The following is a 10,455-nucleotide window of genomic DNA, read 5'->3' as shown; positions in this document are numbered from 1 at the left end:
CCCAGAAACCAGGACAGCAGCCATTGATAGAAAAATATGTTTTTCAGGAACATCCCTGAGTTTTCCCCTTGGCAATGAAATGCTCTCAGTCTCTCAAGGGCTTAAAGAAGAGTTGGCACAGAGCCAGCCTGTAGAGAAAGGAGATGAGCCCAGGCAAAAGCTTCCATAAGGCATGTGCCGCACTGCTGGCCCCCAGGGACCCATGAAAGGATGGATCATGTTTTCCGCAGGAAAAACGGAAATTTGTCATCTCCTCTAGTGCTGGGAGCCAAGGCCACTCCGACTCTGGAGTCACCTTTGTGATGACACCAGGGGCATCCTTGGGTGTTGGGAGAGGCTGGGGCTGGGCTTGGGGTCTCAGAGGCCACTGGGACCTGGCGCTGCCCAGTGTCTTGGGACCTCTAGCCTGGGAAGGTGCTGCCAGGGAAGGTGCTGCCACAAGCTCAAGGGCGCCAAATCATGCCCAGCAGGGCTGAGCAGGGTTGCAGGAAAGCCCCAAGCTCATTCTGCCTCCTCTCATGGGGGCCTCTCATGCATACGTGCCCCTCACTTGTGGCAGCAGTGGCATCTCTGGAGAACCATGGTTTCCCCCACCTCAGCTCTCAGTGCTGCTGGGGTCTCCATCCCCTCTTTGGGGACCATGCTCTCATGGGCACATGGTTGAGAGTTGCCAAAACACAAGTTGCCAGAGAGCATGGCATGAGATAGCCAAGCTGGCCAGTCACTGAACATGGTCAGACACTATTAGAATCCAACATTCCCACTCACTTAAATCCCCGTGAATCTGCCTTCCCCCTTGTTGGACTTCTCCAGGGCTTCACTCTCCTCCCCACGCAGGCTCTGCTTCTTACAGAGAAGAATCCCTAGTGGGAGTTCTACCTTCTCTTGCAGCCCAGGGGAAGATGCTGCTTGGTCCCAGAGGCTGGGTTTCCCCAGGAGAGCTGACAGCAGCAGGAGGCACGAGCCCAGGTCTCTGGTCAGACAGTCCTGGGCTCAGTACAGCTGGCTCATGGGAGGTGGCTGTCCTTGGTGCTACAGCTCCAAGGGGCGTGTGGGCAGGGGTACAGTCCAATTCGTCCCTGGTGCCCTGGAGCCCTCACTGGATAGTAGGTGCCCAGGGAACGTTGTTGACATGGGGTCTTTAGATGGGGGCAGTGGCCAAGCCGTGGTCCTGCGGAGTAAAGCGAACAGCTGGTGCAGACAGCGGGGGCACAGCCATGCAGACCTGAGTGTTGAACCAGGACCAAAGTGGCAAGTGCCTCAAGCCAAGAGCTGCGGGAAGTCCGGAATGACTGCCTGGAGGGAAGGTCAGAGCGGGCCATTTGACCTTGAAGGATGGTAAGTTTTGACAGCTGTGGGTATATAAAGAGCGATCTTCAGGCCTGAGCCAAGAGCGAGTGCAGGAGGGTGCTGGGTGTGTGCAGGTATACAAACAGGCGTTTTGGGTTAGATGAGTAATTGGGGAAACAAACACATGAAAAAGCCTCAACCCAATTAGTCATCAAAGGATGCAAATTCAAGCAATAGCAAGCCACTCCCCCAGGCCCCTCCATATTGTTAAGTAGGTAAAGATAAAATTACATCGCTATCTAGGTTTGGAAGGGAGTTGGAAGGCTGACCCTCTGGCCAGTGTAAACTGGGTCAAATATTTTTTAAGGCCATGCGGTGACCTGCATACTAAGCTATAAAGTACCTGTGCTTTATCCAGAGGGCTACTTCTAGGATATTATTCTAAGGATAGAATTAAAGCTGGCCACCAAAATTTAGCTCTACTGATTTTCATCAAAGCATTGTTCATGACAATGAAAACTCTCAACGTATAACAACAGTGAATCGGTTGAGCAAAATCTTTGGTCATTAAAAACCATGCAGTCAAGGAGCAAAAGCTATTGACATGTGAAAATGTTCCCGATAAGCTAGTAAGTGGGAAAAGCAGGCTATAAAACAGCGTGAACAGAACGAGCCAAGCTTTGCTCATCTGAATGTCAGTGAAAGTAGGTATGTGTGTGGTGGGCCTTCCCCCTCCCACCCACAGGACACGGTGCTGCAGGTCCTGTCTCTGGATGTGGCGGCCTCCTTCCTGGGTGGCTCTGGATGGGTGAACCTCCTGGCTACAGGTTTGCAGGAGGCCAGGCCTGCCTCTTGGACTGTCATGCCACCGAGCTCTCTCGTGCCTCATGTCCTCGAAACTCTGGAGGGCTAATACCTCCTCCCTTGGGCTGGTGCCTCCTCCCTCTGGCTGTCTGCAGGACAATGGCACCAGGGAGGGGGTTAAGCCTCAGCCTCCACCTCGAGTCCCAGCCCTGTTCTGTTTGGGAGGAGCTGGGCACACACCCAGCTAATAATAAAAGGGGAGCTTCCATGTGCCTTTGACATTGTCCCCCTCCCTTCCCACAGCCTCCCTGAAAGCCTCATGGGCAGCAAGGTGGCAGGGCTGAGGCAAGGTTCTGTGATTCCCCAGTCCCACTATATATATATATATTTTTTTTTTTTTTTTTTTTTTTGAGATGGAGTCTCGCTCTGTCACCCAGGCTGGAGTGCAATTGTACGATCTCGGCTCACTGCAACCTCTGCCTCCTGGGTTCAAGCAGTTCTCCTGCCTCAGCCTCCAGAGTAGCTGGGATTACAGGCACATGCCACCACGCCTGGCTAAATTTTTGTATTTTAGTAGAGATGGGGTTTCACCATGTTGCCCAGGCTGGTCTCGAACTCTTGAGCTTAGGCAATCCATCTGCCTCAGCCTCCCAACGTGCTAGGATTACAGGCGTGAGCCACTGCACCCAGCCCCACTATGATTTTTTTGTGAATATTTTTGAATATGTGCTTTCTGTTTTAAAGTTCAAAAAACACAAAAGGGTATTATACAGCAATAACTACGATTTCTAACTGTGTCTTCCAGCCCCTCAGAGCCAGTTATTTATTTCTTGTGGGGTCTCCCACGGTTGTTTTCTTTGAGAAGTTGTATGATTATCCAGACAAACACGTGCATGTAATGCCTCCCTGCAACTGCTCCCGCGGACACTGCTCTGCGTCCTGCTTTTCACTCGATGTGTCTTGGCTCTGATTGCACAGGGGTCTGAGAGCCTCGTTTTCATGGCTCTGCAATACCCCGCTGTAGGAAGTACCGTTATTGACCTAACGAAGGACGCTCAGGCTGTTTCCCCTCCTTTTCGATGAAGGTTTTGCACAGTTAATTTGGCACCTGTGTGTGTGATGATATTTGTAGATAAAGTTCTAGAAATGTGTGAAGCTTTGTATCCAGAAATTTGGGTTGAAATCACCAAAGCACCCTCCACGGCAGACACACCAATCACACTCCAGTAGGAGCGCGTGGACAGCCCGTTTCTCCACGCCTTTACCAACACAGTGAGCTCTGACATTTTTGATCTTGGAAAAAGAGTTGAAATTTTCTATCTTATTATGAATGGCATTGAGCACCTTTTAATATTCTTTAAAAAACTTGTGACTTAGCACATGGGATGAGCAGGGCGTATGAGGCATTTGCACAGTGCGATGAATGTCCTCAATGAGACTGAGATAAACCAGCAGGCAGGGCAGGAACAGAAGCACGCCCAGCACCCGGACCCGCTCCACTGCGCGAGCCCTCTGTGTCGTGATTTCCTCCTCCCCACAGGCAGACACTGTCCTGAATTCTGTAAATCCCACTGAGGAGTCATCCTGGAAATCACACACTTGTCCTTAACTCAGCAAAGTTGGTGTCGACCAACACCCTCATCTTCCTCCCAGATGACACAGAGACCGTGGAACACCCTCATCCCCGCTTATGTGTCACTGCTGTTGCACATTTAAATTGTGTCTTTTTCCTGTGACTTCCAGGGTCTGTTTCTAGTGTCTTTGTCAGTGATATCAGATCTAAATATTTTCCCCAGTTTGTCTTTTTTTAATTCTTATTTTGGCCACAGAGGTTTTGCCACGCAGTTTTCCAAAATACATGCTTTTGTTTGTTTGTTTGTTTTGAGACAGAGTCTTACTCTGTTGCCCAGGCTGGAGTGCAGTGGCGCGATCTTGGCTCACTTCAACCTCCGCCTCCCGAGTTCAAGTGATTCTCCTACCTCAGCCTCCCGAGTAGCTGGGATTATGGGCACCTGCCACCACACCTGGCTAATTATTATTATTATTATTGAGATGGAGTCTCTCTCTGTTGCCCAGGCTGGAGTGCAGTGGCGCGATCTCGGCTCACTGCAAGCTCCGCCTCCCGGGTTCACGCCATTCTCCTGCCTCAGCCTCCCCAGTAGCTGGGACTATAGGCACCCACCACCATGCCCAGCTACTTCTTTGTATTTTTAGTAGAGATGGGGTTTCACCATGTTAGCCAGGATGGTCTCAATCTCCTGACCTTGTGATCCACCCACCTTGGCCTCCCAAAGTGCTGGGATTACAGGTGTAAATTTTTTTGTATTTTTTAGTAGAGATGAGGTTTTGCCATGTTGGTCAGGCTGGTTGTGAACTCCTGACCTCAGGTGATCCGCCCACCTCTGCCTCCCAAAGTGTTGGGATTACAGGCGTGAGCCACTGCACCGGACTACGTATTAACAAAGAAAGACTAGCAGGTCATACACCAAACTGAGAGCCACCCCCAACACAACACATGGTGGAATTGTGGCTGTTTTTTGTGTTTTCCCTTTGCATTTTTAAAGTTGTTGTTGTTGCTGATGCTGAGGGCACATTACATTTGCAACCAGAGAAAGATGTAACAGGTGCCATGCAAGTAGAATTGTTCATCTATGGCAGGACTGCCCAGGGCTTTGTGGGCCTCGGGTACCAATGAATTCACTTGGCATTAAGGCCCACGTGGCCTTGGGTCCTGCCTCCCCTCCCTGAGCCCATGGCAGCCCGAGGGTCTCACCTGTCCCGTGGTCACCCAGCTGCTTCTGGGAGACCTACACAAGGCTCCCAGAACTTTGCCTGTTGCCCATGCCACCCGTGCTGCTGGCCTCTGCCCTGACCCTCTCCACCACTGTGCCCCTGGGGCATGCCATTGGCCCTGTCCTCTGGGCACCTTCCTGAGGTTTGAGCCATGAGACCTGGGCACCCTCTTGACCCTGTGCCACTTCCCAAAAGACTGAAGTGGCTGCAGGCAGCTTTAGTTGAAACTTTTCTCTCCTTTCCTCTATAACCTTCACATCCCCTGGCTGCATCCTGCAGGTGCTTAGTAAATGCTTGTGCACTAAAGATACGAAAGGGGAATGAGTTGGGGCCCAAAGCAGGAGCAGAAGGGATTTCCTGGGTCCCGGGATGCCCTGAAGAGGGCCAGTGAGTGCTCTGACCCAGCCATCAGGAGTGACCCAGGACAGAGGGCAGGTGCCATGGCAGGACTGAGCAGGTGCAGGAGAGGCTGGTGGGGCCCAGGTGCTGCCTGGGCTGGACCCTTTGCGCCCATAGAGAGCCCAGCATCACAGGCCAGCACCTGCCCAGCAGGGCACAGCAGTTGTGGGGTTTCCTCACTGCCCCAGTGCAGGCAGCAGGGTGGCCAGAACCATCTCATTCCCCGCCTCTTGCCCAGCATCCCAGCTTCCAAGCCCACAGCCCCGGAAGGAAGCCCGTCAACCCCCTCCTTCCTAACCGTCCTTGCTGTCTGCTCCCTTGGGAGACATTCCTGTTGCTGCTGGGGTGTCTCCCGGGTAATTGTGTGTGCATTTTAATGTTACCGGCCCTGCCGCTTCCAGCCCCTGGTTTGCTCTTTCAGGCCAGCTGCTGGAGAGCCATGGGGCACGCTGCGACCACCCAGGCAAGCCCATAGCTCACATGGCCTTTGTTTCCACAATAGCCTCCTCCCCTGCTCGATGTTATGTCCCCATCCCCGTTTTCCTGTCTTTTTTGGCTCCCACATTTAATTTATGCAATCCTGTTATATGTGTGTGTTCTCGTAAGCACCTTAAATCCTTTCCAGAAACGTTGGGTAGAAATCATAAATACCATTTCTATCTTCATCCGGAGTCTGGAGGTGGGTAAACATCTCATCTCAGTGACAGCTAATCTTATTAACCCTTACCTGGGTGGACAGGGGCATGGGTCCCGAGTAGAGCAGGGCCCTCCGAGCCTGTGGGGAGGCTCTGGGAGGGGGCAGTGGAGAGGAGACTCCTCAGGCTGAGTGAAGCAGGAGGGTCTGCCAGGCCCCTTGTGGCGTGTGGCGAGGGTATATGGAATATGACGGCGGGGCCAGGAGCCGGTGTCAGTGCTGCTGAGGACGCCATTGCCACTGAGGATCCTGGATTTTCGTAGGGGAGCCACGTCAGTCCCCTGGTTATTTGAGAAAAGGCCCATTTTCACCCCTTGGGAGCAAGGCTTTGCTGCGCTTGCCTGGCAGGGTTGCAGACGTCCTGGCGGGAGAGCAGGTGGGCAGCTGGACCTCTGGTTCCAGGCTGAGTAGGGAAGGAAGAGAGGTGGGGGCAGGTGTGGACAAGATCTGGGTGTGGGGAGGGGCGTGGGCTGAGAGAGCCCTGGCTGGCTGGGGTGTGAGGTTTGACACTGTCTCCGAGGTGGTGCTGTCCTGGTGACGAGTGGTTTTCAGGGCGGCTGTGGGAGATGCTGGTTGCGGCGGTGTGGCAGGCAGGCTGTGACCCTGTGGACGCTCCTTAGGGTGGGCACTGAGGAGGGAGGCAGGGCGGCAGTGTGGGGTGGGGCTGCCCTCCTGGGGCTGGAGGGAGGGCACTGTTGGGGCCGGGGCTATGGGCTTTGCCTGTTGGTCAGCCATCCCCTCTTCTCCTAGGAACAGTGCCCAAGAGCCCTTGGGATGCAGCCTCCATCCCACCTCTCTTTGCAGACCCTGTGGTCTCTGTGGGGCTCCAGCCCCTCTCCACTGGCTCATGGTAGGTCCGAACATCAAGCTGATTCAATTCTACTGAGTCCTGGGGCTGGTGTGGGAACTTCTGGGAAGAACAAGGCCTGGAACAATGTGGTGGCAGCCACGTTGCCACCATGAGGAGGCTGAAAGCAAAACCATCCGGAATAGACTGGAGAAACAGAGAATACCTAGGGACTGGAGGTGTTGTTTTGAGCCCGTAAATCCAGCTGTACTTGAAGATGATTTATAGAGTCATCGAATTAAAGTTTCATACAGGGTATGTGGACTTCAGGAGAGGCTTGATCGAGCAGCTCAATGGTGTCATGAAAAACACAGATCCCTTCTGGCTGTCTGCTTTTCACCTCCAATGGTGCCAGCTTCATCCTAAGGCTGGCTCTACTCTTGGTAGCAGAGTGGCTGCCAGCAGCGACTGCAATCACGCCCTTCCTCATTCAGTGAAAACTGCCGTCCCACCCCACCTCCAGAAGCTCCTGGGGAATAGGGAGGCATTTCTCGCACAATCCCTGCAGACACCTCGTCATTCTCATTGGCCTGACTTGGGTCATATGCCTGCCCCTGGACCAATCCATCTGGTCAGAGGTCTGAGATGTTCTGACTGAGCTGAGCAGCACCAAGAGGCCCCAACTTGAAATTCTGGGGTCCTGTTAAGAATGATAAATATGATTCCTACCTTCATCTGGAGCATAGAGGGGGGTAAGATGGGGGGCTGTATCCTTGGGGGGCCACCTTGCAGTGCTGGCAGAGCAGACCCAGCTTCCTGTGAGGCCCAAGTGACCCCACACTGGGTGTTCCCTTGGGTGGGGTCTCCTGGCAGCAGAGCCGGTGAGATCTGGGCTCTTCTCCAGCTCTCGCCTCTGGTCAGTGTCTTTGGTCTGACTCCAGTTACAGGGGAACAGGGGTGCAGTGCTGCACTGGTGGCAGCTGGAGGGGCACCCCACTCAGGATGAGGCTTAGAGAAGTCATCATGGGGTGGGGGGATGGCAGGGGAGGGGAGCTGTCACGGCTCTAGCTCATCTGCCTTCCTCAGAGGGTTCTGTGGACAGATGGGGGCTGCATCCATGGCATGGAAGAGGCCCTGTGCCTGGAGCCAAGTGGCCTGCCTTAGTTCCTCCTCCACAAATGAATCTCAACCCTGTGTGACACATGTGTCACTGAGCTCTGTAGAAACAGGAATGGTCCACGTCACTGAGGCTGACATTTCTTGTTCTGATGTGATGAAATTAATAACTGTGGCTTAATGGATACAAATCAAAGTGTAACTCATCTGTCAAAGGTCCCTCGGCCCCATTAACTCTGAAGTCACTGTGGGTCACTGACCGTGGCTGGGGTGGGTGGGGCTGAGCCCAGCTGAGGGGGCCCCATGTGCTTCCAGAGCTGGCCGCCCCTGATGAGGCCAGTGCCAAGCAGCTCCCTGGGAAAGGTGCTCCGGAATCTCATGCACATCTGAAGTTGAGTTTTATCGGGAGGGTCTCCTGCCTGTGGCCCGACAGCAGGGGCAAGGACAGAGACCCTGGGCTGTGCCTGAGGGTGGTCCTGTACTTGGGACCACACCATGGTAGTCTGTGTGCTCTGGAGGCAGGGCTGCCATGTGCAGAGTGAGGTGGTGGCAGGGGCTGCCCGTGACCTTCCTGTGGTGTGGAGATGTGCCTGCATTTCCACCATCACTTTACCCCGTTTCAGAAAGGGTTTTGCAAGGGAACATGGCTGTAGATGTCTTGGGGCTGCCTCCCACAGCAGCTCACATTCCTGCGCCCTGCGTCCCACCCTGTCTTGCTCTGGCCCCCGCAGCCAGGACAGCGCTGCTTGGATGGGCTTCTGTTCCCTTTGAAGGCACTTCCCTTCATAGCCTCCTCCCTTCCTTCCCTGGATGCTGCTGCTGCCCCGAGAGCCCCAGGCCTGGCCTTCTCTGTGCCAGGCACAGGATGTGGTGGCCCACAGCATGGACACAGCCCTGCCTCCCTGGAGCTGACCTTCCCAGGGGGACAGTGACAAGATGATTGTCCGAGGGAGGCTGGCAGGCAGGTGGGGAGGCTGCTCTGGGGGGGGCCCTGAGAAGCACTGTGTACCTGGAACTGCCAAAGACTAACCTGGGAGCTGGGCAGAGTGTGGGGAGCGGGCAGGGGACCTTGCTGCCAGGGGGTGCTGCTCTGAGGAGAGTGCATAAGAAGCGTGGACAGCCTGTGGCCGGCTCCCGGGTGCTGTGCCCTGCTGGGAGTGCGGCTGTGACAGACTCTCGGATGGGCAGGATCCTGCCCTCAGGGAGCTGCTGTCCAGTGGGGAGAGCAGGCACTGTCTGGCCCACCAGATAGTCAACACTGAAAGCCACAGAGTGAGGATGTGGGGACAGGCACCTGGTGGCTGTGCTGAGGGATGGAGATGGGCACAGCCCTTCCGAGAGCAAAAGGGACCTGCCAGTCAGACAGAGCCCAGCTAGTATCCCTGCAGAGCCCAGCCATGCCACTCCCAGTGCAGTTTGTCCATAGCTTGTTTGGGCACCTTTTGTGGGGGTGGTGTTGGGGACACCCTGAGCTCTGCTGCCGTGAGAAGCAGCAATCTCAGAAATTCACAGTGACATGGCTGGGCCCTCACTCGGCAAGGGCTATTCCACACTGTGTGGGAACGAGGGGTCCACCTAGAAGTAGCCCCCATTTCACAAGGGCGAACACAAGGCAAAGACGTGGCAAAGGTATGGAGTGTTGGCCGTGCATGGAAGGCTTGCTCAGCAGGAGCTGGAGTGTAGGGGAAAGGGGCCGGTGAACTCAATAGAACAAGGCAGGGATCTTGGGGGCCCTCGTGGGACGCAGGCATAGACTGAGGAGTGTGAATGCAGTTCCTTCCTTCCAAAGCTCAAACCATGACAGGCAGACAGCACGGGGCTGTGCGTCTCATAGCTGCTCTGAAGAGGGACGGGACGGGAGTCCCAGCATGGCCGTGCTGGGGGAGGGCGGAAGGTCGGTGGGGGGAGGCTGGAAGGTCGGTGGGGGGAGGGTGGAAGGTCGGTGAGGGGGAGAGTGGAAGGTCGGGGGGGAGGGTGGAAGGTCGTTGGGGGGGAGGGTGGAAGGTCATTGGGGGGAGGGTGGAAGGTCGGTGGGGGGGAGGGTGGAAGGTCGGTGGGGGGGAGGGTGGAAGGCCGGTAGGGGGATGGTGGAAGGCCGGTAGGGGGATGGTGGAAGGCCAGTGCGGGGGATGGTGGAAGGCCGGTGGGGGGGGAGGGTGGAAGGCCGGTAGGGGGATGGTGGAAGGCCAGTGCGGGGGATGGTGGAAGGCTGGTGGGGGGGGAGGGTGGAAGGCCGGTTGTGGGGGAGGGAGGAAGGCCGGTGGTGGGGGAGGGAGGAAGGTCGGTGGAGGGGAGGGTGGAAGGTCGGTGGGGGGGAGGGTGGAAGGTCGGTTGGGGGAGGGTGGAAGGCCGGTAGGGGGGATGGTGGAAGGCCGGTAGGGGGGATGGTGGAAGGCCAGTGCGGGGGATGGTGGAAGGCCGGTGGGGGGGGAGGGAGGAAGGTCGGTGGGGGGGAGGGTGGAAGGTCGGTTGGGGGAGGGAGGAAGGCCGGTGGTGGGGGAGGGAGGAAGGTCATTGGGGGGGAGGGTGGAAGGTCATTGGGGGGAGGGTGGAAGGTCGGTGGGGGAAAGGT

General features: G+C 55.7%; 2 annotated features.

Annotated features, from left to right (window-relative positions):
• Positions 637-1,136: an enhancer, noted in NCBI's record as "H3K4me1 hESC enhancer chr5:178848651-178849150 (GRCh37/hg19 assembly coordinates)". NCBI's record gives its function as "activates a minimal SCP1, AML or CMV promoter by ChIP-STARR-seq in naive H9 embryonic stem cells {active_cell/tissue: H9 hESC(naive)}" and the evidence as "EXISTENCE:reporter gene assay evidence [ECO:0000049][PMID:30033119]".
• Positions 1,137-1,638: an enhancer, noted in NCBI's record as "H3K4me1 hESC enhancer chr5:178848149-178848650 (GRCh37/hg19 assembly coordinates)". NCBI's record gives its function as "activates a minimal SCP1, AML or CMV promoter by ChIP-STARR-seq in naive H9 embryonic stem cells {active_cell/tissue: H9 hESC(naive)}" and the evidence as "EXISTENCE:reporter gene assay evidence [ECO:0000049][PMID:30033119]".

Source organism: Homo sapiens, chromosome 5 (assembly GCF_000001405.40).
Source record: "Homo sapiens chromosome 5, GRCh38.p14 Primary Assembly".
NCBI lineage: Eukaryota > Metazoa > Chordata > Mammalia > Primates > Hominidae > Homo > Homo sapiens.
The sequence above is the reverse complement of the archived record's forward strand: the minus strand, read 5'-3'. Positions and strand labels throughout refer to the sequence as shown.